A 17,529-nucleotide genomic window follows, 5' to 3' on the forward strand; every position below is an offset into this window, starting at 1 on the left:
CCATGTTGGCCAGGCTAGTCTTGAGCAATCCTCCTGCCTCAGCCTCCTAAAGTGCTGGGATTACAGGCATGAGTCACGGTGTCCAGCCTGCAAGTAATTTAGTTTGCTTTGAATGCATGGCATAATGAACAGGGAGTAGCTGTTTGTTCATTCATTCCTTCAATCATTCAACAAATATTTTTTGAGCACCTATCCTATTTCAGGCTCTATACTAAGGGCTAAGGATGCAACAATGAACGTTACCTCAGCAGAGTTCACTGTTATGAGATTTGGATACGACTGTGGAATGCACTGAAAACTACCCTAAAGAGTTTGTACTTGGTTCTTCAGATCCTCACTGCGCAAACTGTGGACTTTAGACCAGCAACCTGGGAGTGTACCGGAAGTTTGTTAGAAATGCAAAATCTCAGCCAGGCAAGCGTGGTGGCTCGCGCCAGTAATCCCAGCACTTTGGGAGGGCAAGGCAGGTGGATTGCTTGAGCCCAGGAGTTTGAGACTAGCCTGGGCAACATGGCGGAAATCCTGTCTCTTAAAAAAATGCAAAAAAATATTAGCTGAGTATGGTGGCAGGCGCCTGTAGTCCCAACTACTTGGGAGGCTGAGATGGGAGGATGGCTTGAGCCCAGAAGGCAGACGTTGCAGTGAGCCAAGATTGTGCCATTGCACTCCAGCCTGGGCAACATAGTGAGACCCTGTTTCTACAAAAACAAAACAAAAAAACAAATCCAAAGTCTTAGGTTCTGCCCTAGCCACAAACTTACAGAATCAGAATTTGCATTTCAGCAAGATCCTTAGGTGATTCTTATGCACATTAGTGTTAGAGGAGCATTGTTGTAGGCCAACTAAGACAATAAGAGAGTATGTACATTGGTCACTAAGTTAAAAAAAAAAGAAAAAAGAGCATGTAAATGAATGAGCCAGAGTAAGCAAGAAAGTAAGAGAGCTAGTAAGCATGCACAAAAATAAGGAAGTAATCTAATCAGGATTGGATTGGATGTGAAAGAAACCGGACATGGGACTATTACTGTAGTTAGATGAGAAGTGGAAGGGGTTAGATGTGAGAGATAGAATCTTTTGTAAAAAGATAGAGCGGGCCGGGCGCGGTGGCTCATGCCTGTAATCCCAGCACTTTGGGAGGCCGAGGTGGGTGGATCACAAGGTCAGGAGTTCAAGACCAGCCTGACCAAGATGGCGAAACCCCGTCTCTACTAAAAATACAAAAAAATTAGCCGGGCGTGATGGTGGGCGCCTGTAATCCCAGCCACTCGGGAGGCTGAGGCAGAGAACTGCTTGAATCCGGGAGGTGGAGGTTGCAGTGAGCTGAGATCGCGCCACTGCACTCCAGCCTGGGCGACAGAGCGAGACTCGTCTCAAAAAAAAAAAAAAAAAAATAGAGCTTTGGCTGGCTAACATGGTGAAACCCTGTCTCTACTAAAAATACATTAAAAAAAAAATTAAAAAAAAAATTAGCCAGGCGTGGTGGCAGGCGCCTGTAGTCCCAGCTACTTGGGAGGCTGAGGCAGGAGAATGGCATGAATCCGGGAGGCGGAGCCTGCAATGAGTCGAGATCACGCCACTGCACTCCAGCCTGGGCGACAAAGTGAGACTCCGTTTCAAAAAAAAAAACAAAAACAACAACAAAAAAAGATAGAGCTTTGGTTCCATTAACTCATACTGGGAACATTGCATATCATTCAAAGTAAAAAAAAATCAGCAAATCTAGTAACAGGGTATTTAAGATGTCTTAAAAGGTGCCAGTTATTTGTTTTAGACAAGGCTTATTGGTATGTCTATTTCCTGTTAACGCCACAGGTCCAAGGTCTATTTCTAAGTATTGCAGCATCAAGCCCTTAATCATGTAAGTTCACACAGGGGTAATGATAAGGATCTTGGAAATTAAGTCATTATATCCAAGTTTACAAAAAGCTGATTTGTAAACCAGAAATTCAATTTATTAATTTGCAATAGAGTAATTATCTTTCCACTAACCAGAGAATTTTTTCAGTTATTACCACTGTCATTTTTTTTTCTTTTCTTTTTTTTTTTTTTTTTTGAGATAGGGTCTCACTCTGTCTTCCAGGCCGGAGTGCAGTACTGCAATCTCGGCTCACTGCAGCCTTGACTTCAAGCGATCCTCCACCTCCAGGGCTCAAACCAGCCTCCCACCTCAGCCTCCAGAACAGCTGGGACTACAGGAGCATGCTACCGCGCCTGGCTAGTCTCAAACTCCTGGACTCAAATGATCCTCTCACCTCAGCCTCCCAAAGTGTTGGAATTACTGGCATGAGCCACCATGCCCAGCCCCAGTGTTAAATTTTTTATTACAACTTTTTATTTTGAAATAGTTTAGGACTATTTTATTTTGAAATAGTTTAGTTTGCTACAAGAAGTAGCAAAAATAGTAGACAGAATTCCCACGTACCCTTCACAAAGCTTTGCCCCAATAGCACCTTGTCAAATCCAGGAAATTGACAATCGATACAACACTATCAACTCAAGTGCAGACCTTATTTGGATTTCACCAGGTTTTTTCATGTACTTATGTGTGTGTATTTGTAGTTCTCTAAAATTTTATCACCTGTAGATTTGAGTAACCATCACCAAAATCAGGATGCACAATTGTTCCATCACCACAAAAAAATCTCTCGTGTTACCCCTTAATACTCAGTCTTTTCCCAACCCTAATCCTTGCCAACCACTGATCTGTCCTCCATAACTATAATTTTTCATTTTGATAATATCATATAATGGAATCATTGTAACTCTGATTTTTTTCCCACTAAGCATAATGCCCTTCAGATCCATGTAAGTTTTTTGTATGTATTAAGTTTATTTTTATTTTTATTTTTTTTGAGACAGAGTTTCGCTCTTGTCGTCCAGGCTGGAGTGAAGTGGCACAATCTCGGCTCACTGCAACCTCCGCTTCCTGGGTTTAAGCAATTCTCCCATCTCAGCCTCCCGAGTAACTGGGACTACAGGTGCCTGCCACCATGCCTGGCTAATTTTTGTATTTTTAATAGAGACGGGGTTTCACTATGTTGGCCAGGGTGGTCTTGAACTCCTGACCTAGGGTGATCCAACTGCCGTGGCCTCCCAAAGTGCGAGGATTACAGGCATGAGCCACCGTGCCTGGCCAATAGTTTCTTTTTATTGCTGAATAGTATTCCATTCCCTGATGGAACCAGTTTGCTTAACCATTCACCAGGTGATAGATATTTTGGTTGTTTTCTGTTTTTGGCTATCACAAATAAAAGCTGCTATAAGTACTTGTGTGCAGGTTTTTGTGTAAACATAAATTTTAATTTCTTTGGGATAAATGCTCAGGAATGAGATTGCTGGGTCAGATGGTAAGTATGTATTTAACTTTGTAGGAAAGTGCCAAACTGTTTTCTGGGGCAACCAGTATAAGATCTTAAAACTTCCATAAGTAATACATGCTCACTGTAAAAAAAAAAAAAAAAAGAATAAAATAAGGTGGAAATATATAAAACGAAAAGTAAAATGACAAGTCATGGAACTGTACTGCCTCTTTCCTGAGTAGTAACTGTTGTTAGGTTTCCTGTATATTCAAGAATGTTTTGGCTGGGCGTGGTGGCCCATGACTGTAATCCCAGAACTTTGGGAGGCTAAGGCAGGAGAATTTCTTGAGATCAGGAGTTTGTAACCAGCCTGGGCAACATAGTGAGATGCCGTCTCTATCAAAAAAATGTTTTATGCATATGCAAGCAAATACATGTGTATATAAATATATATATATTCCAAAATGTGATCACAGTATACAGGTAATTGCAACTTGATTTTTTCTCATAACTTAGACATATTTTTTTTTTTTTTTGAGACAGAGTCTCGCTCTGTTGCCCAGGCTGGAGTGCAGTGGCATGATCTCGGCTGACTGCAAGCTCTGCCTCCCGGGTTCACTCACGCCATTCTCCTGCCTCAGCCTCCCGAGTAGCCGGGACTACAGGCGCCCGCCACCACGCCCGGCTAATTTTTTTGTATTTTTAGTAGAGACAGGGTTTCACCGTGTTAGCCAGGATGGTCTCGATCTCCTGACCTCGTGATCCACCCACCTCGGCCTCCGAAAGTGCTGGGATTACAGGTGTGAGCCACCGCGCCCGGCCCATATTTGCAATATTAATAAATATATACTTGTTTTAATGGTGGGCATAGGACTATTGTATGCCCACCATTATCCAATGTATCTATTGTATGGATGTATTATAATTTCTTTACTCAGTCCCCTGATGATGACCATTTCTATTGTTGTCAGTTTCTATTACAAAGCTATAATGAAAATCTTTCTATATATATTTCTTTATAATTTGTATGAGCATATCTGTATGGTAAACTCCTAGAAATGGAATTGCTAGATCGATTTTACATTTAACTGCTCCGAGATACTTTCAACTTTTTCTCCAGTTTTTAAAATTTTTGTAGAGATGGGGTTTTGCTATGTTGCCCAGGCTGGTCTCAAACTCCTGGGCTCAAGTGATTCTCCTGCCTTGGCCTTCCAGTGTTAGAATTGCAGATGTGAGCCACTGCATCCGACCTTTTAAAAATTTTTATTTTTCAGTTTTTTTTTAAAATTTACTCTCCCCTCAATGATATATGAGAGTTCTCAGTTCTTTACCAACACTAAGTATTATCAACATTTTAAATCTCTGGCAATCTGGTAGGAGAGTTTGTATTTAATTTGCATTTATTTTATTTTATTATTTTTTTGAGACAGAGTCTCGCTCTTTCGCCCGGCTGGAGTGCAGTGACACGATTTAAGCTCAGTGCAACCTCTGCTTCCTGGGTTCAAGAGATTCTCGTGCCTCAGCCTCCTGAGTAGCTGGGACTACAGGTGAGCTACCACGCTCAGCTAATTTTTGTATTTTTAGTAGAGACGGGGTTTCACCATATTGGCCAGGATGGTCTCGAGTGATCTGCCCGCCTCGGCCTCCCAAAGTGCTGGGATTACAGGCGTGAGCCACTGCGCCCGGCCTTAACTTGCATTTCTTAGTGGCAAATGAAGTTGAGCACTATTTTATGTATGTATTAGCCATCTGTATTTCTTATTTCTTTTTTTTCTTTTTTTTATTTTTGAGAAGGATTCTCGCTCTGTCGCCCAGGCTGGAGTGCAGTGACACTATCTCGGCTCACTGCAACCTCCGCCTCCTGGGTTCAAGCGATTCTTCTGCCTCAGCCTCCTAAGTAGGTGGGACTACAGGTGTGTGCCACCATGACCATCTAATTTTTTGTATTTTTAGTAGAGACGGAGTTTCCTTGTGTTAGCCAGGATGGTCTCGATCTCCTGACCTTGTGATCCGCCCGCCTCGGCCTCCCAAAGTACTGGGATTACAGGCGTGAGCCACCGCGCCCGGCCTAGCCATCTGTATTTCTTCTCCCACAAGTAGACTATATTCTTTGTCCACTTTTCTACTGGAGTTTTAAATTTTACCATATTGATTTTGACAGTTCTCCGTATCTTGAAGAAATTAGCTTTTTTCATCCATATAGCAAACATTTTCTCACAGTTTCTAGTTTATCTTTTGACTTTGTTTCTGGTGTCTTGGTATACATAATTTTTTAATTTCTGTGGACTTAAATTTATTTATCTACTTTTAGGTTTCTGGGTTTTATGTTTAGAATGGTGTTTAAAAATATAAAAAATGGGCTGGCGCGGTGGCTCACGCCTATAATCCCAGCCCTTTGGGAGGCCAGGCGGGCGGATCACGTGTGGTCGGGAGTTGAAGACCAGCCTGACCAACATGGAGAAACTCCATCTCTACTAAAAATACAAAAATTAGCTGGGCGTGGTGGCGCTTGCCTGTGATCCCAGCTTACTCAGGAGGCTGAGGCAGGAGAATCGCTTGAACCCTGGAGGTGGAGGTTGCAGTGAGCTGAGATCGCACCACTGCACTCCAGCTTGGGTGACAGAGCGAGAGTTTGTCTCAAAAAAAAAAAAAAAAAAGAAAATAAAATAAAATATAAAATATATATATATGCTGTCCAGAGGAGAAGACTATCTGGAAAACCTAATTTATAATCAGAAGTCTGTTCCATTTGCATGGAGTTAAAGCAAAGAGATCTGTGGGATGTTTTAGTCCGTCTATGGTAAACCTGGAGGATTATCTTTGTTGTACTGTGGCATATGAATTTCTTGTGACCAGAACATTTCTGCATCAAATAGTGTCTTGCCTTTTATATAGTATCAGAGGTTTGTAAGTTTTAACTATTCAACTCTCCTTTTTCACTATTTCTTATTAGGCACCCAAAGCTTCTGCCTTTACAATATTATCTCATAAAGGACATGTTACAAACAAGATTAAAATTATTTTCCATCAGTTATTTCATTTTTCATTATTTCATATTTCGTTTGATGGCATTTTCTCCCTTTGTCCTCACATTCAAAGGGTGAATTGTTTATATTTTTCAGTACCCCATGAAATAAACTCCACTTCTTATGATAGGACTGGGGCACCTAGCATTCTGTACATATTGAAGTCTTGATAAGTATTTTTTTGAAAGAGCTCTAACAAAAAAAATGGTTACTGTAAAATATTCTTAAATATTAGTAAAAATTTGCTACAACATTTATTTCTGATGTTATACCAGTTTGTTATTAATCTTCAGTGGTATTTTTCACAAAATCAGAGCTAATTTGCTAAACAGAAGAACTTTTCAGTTTTGTTCTAAGCATAAAATTGTTTAAAATCTCAGTTGCTACATAGATAATTAACTGAGAATACAAATTTATAAAATAGATAAAAAACTATTTGTACCATGTACCATAAATGTGATGTTTGGAGCAGAAAATCAGTAGTTTTCAGCTAATACTAAGACAGGAAATCATTTAATATCAATTGAGATTAAATTGGCACAATTGAACTAAATTAATGTAAAAATGACTTGGTACACGGCCCAATTTTTCTATTACTTCAAGTGGAATTTTGCATTAACTTATATAACTCTGTAAATTTTCCACTACTCTCTATTTAATGTTCTAGCTGCATCATTCTGTAACTTGAATCTATTAAAAACTGTATAGCATTCTACCAAAGATGGTCTATAAAAGAAATGGAAATTTATTTTGAATAGTATTCCACTCTCCAGAGCTTTAGAGGTAAGTAAAAATGTCTCAGATTTTACTTCTTGTTATTGATATTCAGATGTTTCTGTTTAACTTTTATTGTCCAGTTGATTAAATATACTATAACTCTTTTTGTAAAGTTGCAGAAAAAACAATAAGCACAGAGGATGGGAGAGAAACTAACAAGAGATATGGAAGGAATATAATTTAAGGACTGAAAATAATCGTTATATTACATTAGGAATGTTTCAGAAGTGATATCGGGGTGAAAGCTTCATGATTTACACGGGGCTCACCCTATTTCTCAGTTGGAAAATTTGTTTTGTTATTAATACGTTTTATTTCTTTTCTTCTAATTGAAATGTAATTTAATATTTAAGAAATATTTTAACCAAAATTTCAAAAATGGAACAGAAACGAAGACTTCTTAAGCAAACACTATTTTATGAATCTACGAACTTCTATAACAGCAATGGAGACACTGCAATAGGTCACTTCTTCCTGTCCAAGGAAAAAGCGGCGCTTTGGAGGGGATAGGCCCTCCTCGAGTTTTTCTCCCCCGAGTAAAGAGCTCTTGGCGGTCAAAGGTCCAATACACTGGATTCGAAACAAACAAAAAAAAAGGGTGACAAAGATTTTAGTTAACAGGGGTCGGAGGAGCAGAAAGGGTCTTTTCGCACTTCAAACATCTTGGGGGAGGGATGGGAAGGCAGGATGCGAAGTAACCTAAATTCCCAACCATTTCGCGTGGTTGCACCCGCCCAGGAAGGCAGTGGATGCGCGGGGGAGGCGGGGTAGGTCCCCCTCCACTCCTTTTGCCCAAATTTCGATTTCCCTCCACTTCGCTCGGTCCTATCTCTTCCCCCGCCCCGAGAGTGGCGAACAAATTGGTCGAGCGCCCGGCCTAGCCTAGTAGTCCAGTTCTTTAGGACTCCTAGAACCTGGAGATACAGACCACGTTTTCTCGGAGACGGGACCAGTGGGCTGTAAAGCAAAACAATTTTTCTTTCTTTTCCAGGGCTAGGTCTTACTGGTAGAGAATCAGCTCGCTCTCTCTCCACACCCGAAGCAAAAAGCAAAACAAAACCAACCCGTATTCCGCCCCCGATCTAGCCCAAGTAGCTCCATTAAACCATTTAGGATCAGGTGCCAGAGTTAAGCGACTTGGGTTCTTTTGGTGGGAAGGGGTAGGGACAAGGGGGCATCGAAGGTACGGGAACTAGGGCCACAGGCCCCTCACAGGGGTGTGTCAGAAGAGGGGACTTCGAAGGGTGATGCCCGACTGGGCTGCCACCTTAGCGCCTCGCGAGGGGCGGAGGGGCCCGGGGAACGAGTCCCGGAGCGAACCCAGCCAGCCTCTGGATTCCCACGGCCCAGGGCTCCGCCGGACATTCCTACCGCCCTCCCCTCGACACCCCACTAAAGACAGAAGAACCGCGGCTCGATCGGGTCCGCGGCGGAAGCGCGGCCAAACGAATGAGTAAGTCAGGCGCGGGCACGGCACCTTGTTTACCCCACTCGGCGGCGCGCCCCTGCGGGCGCCTGGTTTGCGGGCGGCGTCGGAGACGCTGAACCCGGGAGTCAGTCGGCCACGATTGGTCGGTGACTGGGAGGAGGACGCTGGGTGGGAGGGCTGGGAGCCAGGCGTTGCAGTGGCAACTCTCTGCCGCTAGATGCCGCTCCCTCCCAACGGGAGCCGGGCGCGGGTTCGTGGCCGACAGATGGCGCCTGCGCGTTCCATTCGCCTCCAAGTCGCCGAAGAGCGAACACCCCAAACAATCCCGAAGCGCCACCAAAAAAAAAAAAAAAAAAAAAAAAAAAAAAAAAAAAAAAAAGAAAAAAAACCCCGCCGGATCCGACCGCCACTTTCAAAACCCCCCACCGCTCTAGAACCGCGGGAGCTTCCGTCCCTGAGTAGAATTCGAGGGTGTAAAGAAGAGGAAGGGGAAAAATATCTTGTACCAGCCCAGGGGTGAAGAAGCCCCCGGCCTGAGAAAGAAGGAGGAGTGGGGGAGGCGAACAGTCTCGTTGCTGCCTCTGTGTACGCTGAGGGGGGAGGTAAGTTATAAAATGGCGGAGGCGAAGCTTCTAGAAGTTTGGAGGGGCACCCGGAGGGCGCTTGGCCCACCGTGAGGTGTGTATGATTGAAACAGGGCGAGAGAGAGGAGTTGGGAGGGAAAGAGGTTGGGCACTCTGTTGCCATTGAATTTCCCCTCTGCTTTCTTCGCCCCCATGGGGGGCAGCCATGGAACGGGGGGCAGAGTCCAGGCGGGAGGATCTTTCTCGCCCCCGCGGCGCCCCCCGCCCTCCTTTCTCCCTTCTCCCCCCAAGTCGCTACCCCAACACTTCCAAGGAACTTCCAGCCCCCCTTCCTCCCTACCTCCTACTCCTAGAGTGGCTTTCTACCGCAGGGCTCTTCTTTTCGACTACCCTCGCTGAAGATTTTCTCTTCCTTCCCTCGCCCAACTCTCCCTCGGGGCCTCTACGGAGACCCCCCCCCCCCATGGGTGGCCCAAAATGGAGAACGCGGAGCAGCGCAAGATGGAGGCTCCGCTTCTCTGTGTAGCAGTAGATTTAGGTTCCTTTTCTCCGGCAGGCTCCTAAGCCTAGGAGAGCCCGAACTGGAGGTGGGGTGGGGTGCGAGCCGTAGTCGGGGGAGGAAAGCCGGGAGGCTGTGGTTGGGGTGGGGGAGAGCGCGGTGTCGCGGTGAGGGGAAGGCAGAGAGCAAAATGGTGGTGCTGGGAACCTAGGGGGGAGGGGAGAAAGGAGGCTCAGTTGTGTATATTTGGGCCTCGGACCGAGGGAGGCGAGGGAAAATCTACTCTGATCACACCCCTCCCTCGTGCCCCCTCCCTTCTCCCTTCCCCTCCTCCCTTCCCTCCCTCCCCCCTCCCTCCCTCTCTTCCTCCCTTCCTAGAGAGGGAACAACATTCATGTGACGGGCCCCTCTGCTTCTCCCCCGCCCCATCATCTCCAGCGCGTGGTGGGGGAACTGCTGGGGAAGGCGATTGGCATCGATCTCTCCATCCCTTCCGAGGCCCGACTTCGGTCAGTTTTCTTCGGGCAACAATTTTCTAAATTGGCTGGGGTCTGGCGGTGTTGGCCCCCGCGCGCAGACCTTGCCCCGAAGGGGGCCCTGCCTGCCTGGCATGGGCGGAGGGGGGAAGGGCGGGAGTGGAAGGCTGTTTGTTGGGGGGTTTTGGCGCCACTTTTGTTTTAGTTTTAGTGCTGCTTTTCATTCCCACCCCCACCCGCACTGTCTTTCTCAAGGCACGAACTGAGCTGATCCTTGCCCCAGGTAGGCAGCCTGTGCGTTTTCACTCCACACTTTTATTCTTGCTCGGGGTCGACTTTCTTTTTTCTTCTCCCCTGGATCCGGAGATCTGCGGACGGCGATTTTGGGACGAAAAGGGTCGGATGGGCCGTGGGAGAGAGAAGGTGTGGGAAACAGCATCAAGTAGTTCCGCAAAACTTTGAGCCCCGTTCCCATTTTCTTTTGGCCTAGAATTGTGAACGTATTGTTGATTTCGGCCTTTTTTTCCCCCCGTCGCGAGAATGTCTTGTTTTGCCTTTAGTTTTTTATAAACCGCTGTACTTTCGACATTTAGTTTCCGCTCCCCCTTGGTGCATATGTCATTTTATTTTTAATCCTTAACTGTAATGGGTTATCGTGTGATTTTCGTGCTTCAGTGCTCGGCTTTAATTTTTAATATTGTATTAGTAGTTTCATCCGGTTTGTGAGACTTTCTCTTCCGTGGCCTAGAATGTTTTTTATGTTGTTGCCTACCACCCCTCTTCCCTCTCCCTCCTTCTTTCTCTTGGATGTAGTTTTTAAATTGAGGGCCATGGTGTTGGATTAAATGGTAATTTACAGTTTACATGATATATCTATTGGAAACTTTTGATCTGTAAGGTTAGATTTAAAGTAAACGAGGCGCTTGTGTTGGTTTGCAATGGTTCCTTAAAATGCGCGGGCCACCCCCTTCTCCCACCATAAAGCCCCATCTTCCCTTCACACTGGAGTGTAAATTCCATACCCCTTTTCTCCCACGGACCGCCGTATTTCGCAGCAGCCACACCCTGTATTTGTCTCTGTGGATTGGACTCATTATCAGCTTAATTTAGTGACTCTTAAACCACCATGATGGGACTTGCTTAAGCACGAAGCTTCTTTTCCTGTTTAGTCCTAGTGGTTAGTGTCGAAAGAGGAATCATCGAGGTTTCTTGATGAAACCTAGTGCGGTCCAACCTCTGCCTTTTTTTCTGTTGTCTTTTTTCCTACTCCGGGCTGTTGGCGGTGTCAGCACCGCTGCTGGGGGCGGGGGTGGAGGGGAGAAAGAGTCGGGTTACCGAAGTGCGTCATTCCTGGCTCTAGCAGGGCCTGCTCGGGAGCTGCTGGTGTTTGTTACTGTCCTCGCAGCACTTTTCTGCCAACCTTCTCTCTCTGCGTATTGGTTAGGAGCAAAAGCAGGAGGCGGTCTCCTAATTCTGTCTGTAGCCTAGCGCGTTGCGTTTAAGGGTATATCTGAACTTATTTTGTTAAAAAAAAGGCTCTGGGAAGTGGATGCATTTGTTTAATGACATATAATTCAGGTAGTTTAGGCTTGCTCTCATATACTTTCCGATGAACAGTGGGGTTAATTTTCAACATTTTCAACCACTTAACGTTAAAATGCCTGGTTTTCTTTCTACATTGATATCAATCTATAATTAGGGATCAGAAGGACCAGTTTAAGGTATATAAGTGTTCAGCAGTTTTTCAAGTGGTTGAATTGCAGTTTTATGACACATTATGTTAAATAGTCGATTTTTTTTTTTCATTTTGAACTAAGGTGCCACGTTAAGTAAGTTAATTGCAGATGTTTAAGTTCGTTTTCATCACATTTCCCTATTTGTCTTTTTAGGTATAATTTTAAATATGCCCTTTGGGTTTATGGACTTCATTAAAATTCTTAAAGATGGTTATATCTTTGTGTTTAACTGAATTCTTAAATTTATCACCTACCAAAGAATTGTGTAAGGCGTAAGGCGGCTGTATAGTTACATTGTTGGATTTTGACTTAACATGCTAGTTTTTGATACTTTTGCTATCTTTGGGTAGAAGTGTACTTAGAGAACATAGTATCTTCCTCTTAATTCTTTTTGAAGATAATAATGAGAGGAGGGAGTGGGTAGGAGGTAGGTGTGAAGCAGAAGTGGCCTTGAGTTGATTATTGTAGCTGGATGAATACAGAAGCGCTCATTGTTACTATTATTCTCTCTACTTTTGTGCGTGCTGTTAAACATTTCCATAGTTTAAGATAAACTTTTTTTGCAGTAGAATTTCCAGATTGTCTTACAGTCTTGGGGGTAATGACTTAAGTTTATATTTACATGTCAAAATTACTTGCATAGGAAATTTAGCCTTGTGTAAGTGATTACACAATGCTTGGCAAAACTTTCAAAAAAAAAAAAACGTTTAAACGGGAACTAGTATAAAACAGGCAACATAAATACTTATAAATTGGTTGAACTTTAAATGTTTATAACTTAGCCTGAATGTGCTCTACTTTTAGTTTCCTTTTTAATTCTTTGAAAACAGGAAAATTCCATTTGCAATTTTTGTAAATTCTGCTTAGTGTCTATTTCATCAAGTTGGAGTTACAGTGAGTCAGTATGAAAGGGATTTACTATTAATAGGAGGGGCTTTGGCAGTTGCAGTAAGTGACAGTGGAAGGGATTGAGGTACCATAGGGAGCATTCCTGGTAGAAAGATCTAGGTAGCTGAATTCAGTTTCAGAATTTGGTGTTTAATGACTAGGTAGAGAAGTGGGTTGGAAAAGAAATGTACTTATTAGCTATTCCTTCCCACTGTGAAGTAACTATAGTATTCTAAGGTGTATCAGAGACTGGCAGAGAGGGTGGAGTGGGTTTTTTTTTTTTTAACTGATAAGAAAATGAGTGTTTACATTTAAAATGGTTTAAATCACCTCATGCCCCAAGGATCTGGTGCTATAACTAGTTAGAAGTTGATATGTAAAATATTTCAATATTGTCTGTTAACATTCTGACCATTACCCGTAAACAGTAAAAATGTGTTGCAATGACAATCCTTGGTCTCCCTTAATTAGTGCATTTGTGAACTGCTCCTAAATTCTATTAAGGTAAGTGCCTTTTTTTTTTTTTTTTTTGGCAGTTCTATACTGTTCAGTGTCAGGTTTATTTTTTTCCCCCAGGAGATACATTTTAAAAATACATGTCACAGTTCCGAAAGGAATCCAAAACAATGGATATTTAATTTATAGCAAAATTTCACCCCAATCTGGGAACAGACATTTTGTAACTGTTACCATTAGTCTGTTTGTGTATTTCATATTCAGGATTTTAGCTTTAGAAGGATGTTAAAGGAAAATAGGTGACATATTTCAAATTTTTATTCATATACAAATATTCTTAGTAGATGGTAAGGATTGTGGCATCAGATTTATTTTATTGTGGTGAGGCAATAGCTAAACTACTACACTAACACATGATGAGTTTGGTAACTTTCAAGTATATTTAGTTAGGATTTTTTAAAGCCCAAATGCTCAAATAAGATTTTCATGAAATCAAATTCTACATTTCTTTTTCAACTGTATTGACTTCTGCGGTCACCTGAGGACTTATGAATTAAAGTGAATGGGATGGGCTTGGGGGACAGGCTAAGGCTCAGATCTATTCCTTTGGGAATTTAGGGTTAGATGTGAAAATATGCAGTTTAGTAATGCTTAATATTGTGCATGTTTAACTGATACCACCCACAGTCATATGTGGGAAGGTAGTAAACAGAGAATAGCATAATCTTTCTGCTTCGGGTTCTTTATAATAGATGGCAGACTTCAGTTTTTGATGCTGCAAGTTGACTTTTGAACTTAAACCAAAATCGGCGGGGCACAGTGGCTCACACCTGTAATACCAACACTTTGGGAGGCTGAGAGGCTGAAGTGGGGGGATCACTTGAGCCCAAGGAGTTCAAGACCAGCCTGGGCAACATAGGGAGACCCCATGTTTATAGATAATTTAAAAATTAGGTGTGGTGGTGCACACCTGTGGTCCCAGCTATTTGGGAGGCTGAGGCAGGAGGATCACCTGAGCCCGGTACATAGAGGCTGCAGTAAGCCACGATTGCGCCACTGCACCCAGCCTGGGCAACAGAGCAAGACCCTGTCTCAAAAAAAAATTAAAAATAAACTAAAATGTACAGTTTACTATATAATGGAGTACCGTTTTGGGAGTTGGGGAGAATAGCGAGGGAGAGGGATAGTTTCAGGTATGGGCATCAGTATATACTGAAGTGTGATTGTTGGAGAGTAAGGAAGGAACTTTAAAGACATAGGCTATTTTAAAAGTTTTTGGCTGGGCACCATGGCTCACGCCTGTAATCCTAGCACTTTGGAAGGCTGAGGCAGGCGGATCATGAGGTCAGGAGTTCAAGACCAGCCTGGCCAACATGGTGAAACCCCCATCTCTACTAAAAATACTAAAATTAGCTGGACGTGGTGGTGCGCGTCTGTAGTCCCAGCTGCTTGGGAGGCTGAGGCAGGAGAATCGCTTGAACCTGGGAGGCAGAGGTTGCAGTGAGCTGAGATCGCGCCACTGCACTGTAGCCTGGGCGACAGCGAGACTCCGTTTAAAAAAAAAAAAAGTTCTTAACATTTTTCTGCATTGGCTACATGTTCAGGACTTTAGTTCGTGTTTCAGTACTGTCCCTGTGTAATAATTCTTTATGTTTCTGGGTATCATAAATGATGGTTATTGCGTGTTCTGATTGGCAAAGATATATGATAAAGCAAAATTATCAGTTTGATTTTTCAGTCTCTTGAGTTGACTGCTTTACGTTTAATTTACCCAAATTTTATATTTCTTCAGTGTAAGTGGTGTTGCTTAGTGGAGTCTAATTTTTGTTGATGTGCCTTTTAAAAATCTATGCATCTTCAGCAGCTGTGGTAATCTGCTACCTGAATTGTGTTTTTAATGTGTGCTTGCTATAGATCTTTGATACTCACCAGTAGACACCAAGAAGTCTTTACATATGGTTATTGTAGTAAGTCAAGAAGAGATTTATTTATTTTTTGAGACGGAGTTTTGCTCTTGTTGCCCAGGCTGGAGTGCAGTGGCATGATCTTGGGCTCCCTGCAACCTTTGCCTCCCGGGTTCAAGTGATTCTCCTGCCTCAACCTCCCAGTAGCTGGGATTACAGGTGTCCGCTACCACGCCCAGCTAATTTTTTGTGTTTTTAGTAGAGACAGAGTTTCACCATGTTGGTCAGGGTGGTCTCAAACTCCTGACCTCAGGTGATCCACCCACCACAGCCTCCCAAAGTGCTGGGATTACAGGCGGAGCCACCGTGCCTGGCCAAGAAGAGATTATTGAAATTGTTTTCCATTCCTTCTGCCGAAGAAAGAGAGGATGAATAATGTCAATGGTGTATTTTTTTTTTTTTTTTTTTTTTTTTTGAGACGGAGTTTTGCTCTTGTTGCCCAGGCTAGAGTGCAATGGTGCGATCTTGGCTCACTGCAACCTCCACCTACTGGGTTCAAGCGATTCTCCTGCCTCGGCCTCCCGAGTAGCTGGGATTACAGGCATGTGCCACCACACCGGGCTAATTTTGTACTTTTAGTAGAGACGGGGTTTTTTCCATGTTGGTCAGGCTGGTCTCGAACTCCCGACCTCAGGTGATCTGCCTGCCTCGGCCTTCCAAAGTTCTGGGATTACAGGCGTGAGCCACTGCGCCCAGCTGGCCTATTCTTTTTTATTACAGTCATGCATTGCTTAACGGCGGGCATACCTTCTGAGAAATGCATCTTTAGGTGATTTTGTTGTGTGAGCATCATACAGTGTACCTACACACACCTAGATGGAATAGCCTACTATACATCTATGCCATATGGTATGACCTGTTGCTCCTAGGCTACAATCCTGTACAGCATGTTGCTGTACTGAATATCGTAGGCAGTTATAATACAGTGGTAAGTATTTGTGTTTGAAAACAAAAAAGATACAATAAAAATACGGTATAAAAGAAAAAATAGTACACCTCTATAGGGCAGCTCCCTTATAATCTTATGGGACCACTGTCTTTTTTTTTTTTTTAGATGGAGTCTCCCTCTGTCGCTCAGGCTGGGGTGCAGTGGCGAGATCTTGGCTCACTGCAACCTCTGCCTCCTGAGTTCAAGCGATTCTCCTGCCTTAGCCTCTCAAGTAGCTGGGATTACAGATGCATGCCACCATACCCGGCTAATCTTTGTATTTTTGGTAGAGACGGGCTTTCACCATATTGGTCAGGCTGGTCTCAAACGCCTGACCTCGTGATCCGCCTGCCTCAGCCTCCCCAAGTGCTGGGATTACAGGCATGAGCCACTACACCCAGCTGGGACCACCGTCTTATATGCAGTCTGTTGTGGACTAAAATGTCATTATATGGCACATGACTGTATTTTAATTGGGAAATACATTACTAGGCTTGATGAGACAAACTAGGGAGATTTCAGTAAGCTCTGCCTAACTTAAGGGACCATTCAAAGGTAAAATTTCTTTGTAAGAAATAAGTTGGCTGGGCGTGGTGACTCACCCTCTGAATCCCAGCACTTTGGTAGGCCAAGGTGGGAAGATCTGTTGAGCCCAGGAGTTTGAGACCATCCTGGGCAACGTAGGGAGACCCCATCTCTACAAAAAAATTTAACAATTAGCTGGGTATGGTTGTGCAGCCTGTGGCCCCAGTTACTGGGGAGGCTGAGGTGGGAGGATCACTTGAGCCCCAGCAGGTTGAGCCTGCAGTGAGCCATGATCATGCCTTTGCACTTCAGCCTGGGCAAAAGAGTAAGACCCTATCTCAAAAAGTTGTTTAAATTCTGTTGTACATCGTTCAAGGGGGGTGAAAAACAAGTCCTATTTACATTTTTGCAAGAATAACTTTTGAAACCTGAAGCATTCTAAGAAACTTAATTTAACTGCTATTTAAGTTCCTACTGAATGCCAGTAATGCTTTAATCTTCTGTTTAATCTTCTCAACCACTTTGCAGGATAGGTTGTCCTCATCATTTTACACGTGGGGAAATTGACGCTCTCAGAGAGTAAATGCCTTGTCTCAAGTCACATGGATTCACACTCAGATTAGCCTGGCCTCAAAACCTTTGTGCTTTTTTGTTAAACTCAGTTGTTTCCCTTATCTGGTTTAGGTCTTGGGCTATCTGTCATCAGAGAGCATGCATTCTTATTTTAATTTTACAAAATCAAGATTCTTTTTCATGTATAGTGCAAGGTAAATATAGATTTTTACCCAGAGTCAGATAAGTTGCTGCCTGAGGTCTATATTGTCTTTTAATAGTAATAGAAGTAGTTGAAATAAATCTGAGCATTGGTTTTGTTTGCATATGCTTATTAAAGTTTGTGGGATAATGAATTGTATTCTTGAATTTTTTGGGGGGGGAATCATG

The 17,529-nt window shown here is 43.3% G+C and overlaps 1 protein-coding gene and 1 long non-coding RNA gene across 33 annotated transcripts in view, besides 6 other annotated features; one reads left to right on the top strand and one right to left on the bottom strand.

Moving 5' to 3' along the window:
* On the bottom strand, positions 7,500-9,608 carry STAG2-AS1 (STAG2 antisense RNA 1). The gene is made up of 2 exons (NR_130770.1): positions 9,456-9,608; positions 7,500-7,672 (listed from the first exon to the last, which is right to left on the bottom strand). It is a non-coding gene; the product is annotated as an STAG2 antisense RNA 1 (long non-coding RNA).
* Positions 7,939-8,854: an enhancer, noted in NCBI's record as "H3K27ac hESC enhancer chrX:123093522-123094437 (GRCh37/hg19 assembly coordinates)". NCBI's record gives its function as "activates a minimal SCP1, AML or CMV promoter by ChIP-STARR-seq in naive H9 embryonic stem cells {active_cell/tissue: H9 hESC(naive)}" and the evidence as "EXISTENCE:reporter gene assay evidence [ECO:0000049][PMID:30033119]".
* Positions 8,383-8,572: an enhancer, noted in NCBI's record as "active region_29911". NCBI's record gives its function as "activates an Ori minimal core promoter by ATAC-STARR-seq in GM12878 lymphoblastoid cells {active_cell/tissue: GM12878}" and the evidence as "EXISTENCE:reporter gene assay evidence [ECO:0000049][PMID:35858748]".
* STAG2 (STAG2 cohesin complex component) overlaps positions 8,827-17,529 on the top strand; it is a 142,097-nt gene continuing 133,394 nt past the window's right edge. For 5 of the 32 annotated variants that reach the window (NM_001441083.1, NM_001042750.2, NM_001042751.2 and 2 more), the window contains exon 1: positions 9,973-10,123. The gene's annotated coding sequence lies outside the window, so the exon portion shown is untranslated. Of the gene's footprint in view, positions 9,210-9,578; positions 9,703-9,972; positions 10,514-17,529 lie in introns of those variants that run through there. The other 27 variants (NM_001441081.1, NM_001441079.1, XM_047441776.1 and 24 more) reach the window with 9 other exon arrangements.
* Positions 9,553-9,602: an enhancer, noted in NCBI's record as "active region_29912". NCBI's record gives its function as "activates an Ori minimal core promoter by ATAC-STARR-seq in GM12878 lymphoblastoid cells {active_cell/tissue: GM12878}" and the evidence as "EXISTENCE:reporter gene assay evidence [ECO:0000049][PMID:35858748]".
* Positions 9,923-10,062: a silencer, noted in NCBI's record as "silent region_20972". NCBI's record gives its function as "represses an Ori minimal core promoter by ATAC-STARR-seq in GM12878 lymphoblastoid cells {active_cell/tissue: GM12878}" and the evidence as "EXISTENCE:reporter gene assay evidence [ECO:0000049][PMID:35858748]".
* Positions 11,031-11,130: an enhancer, noted in NCBI's record as "active region_29913". NCBI's record gives its function as "activates an Ori minimal core promoter by ATAC-STARR-seq in GM12878 lymphoblastoid cells {active_cell/tissue: GM12878}" and the evidence as "EXISTENCE:reporter gene assay evidence [ECO:0000049][PMID:35858748]".
* Positions 11,221-11,480: an enhancer, noted in NCBI's record as "active region_29914". NCBI's record gives its function as "activates an Ori minimal core promoter by ATAC-STARR-seq in GM12878 lymphoblastoid cells {active_cell/tissue: GM12878}" and the evidence as "EXISTENCE:reporter gene assay evidence [ECO:0000049][PMID:35858748]".

This window comes from Homo sapiens, chromosome X (genome assembly GCF_000001405.40).
Source record: "Homo sapiens chromosome X, GRCh38.p14 Primary Assembly".
NCBI lineage: Eukaryota > Metazoa > Chordata > Mammalia > Primates > Hominidae > Homo > Homo sapiens.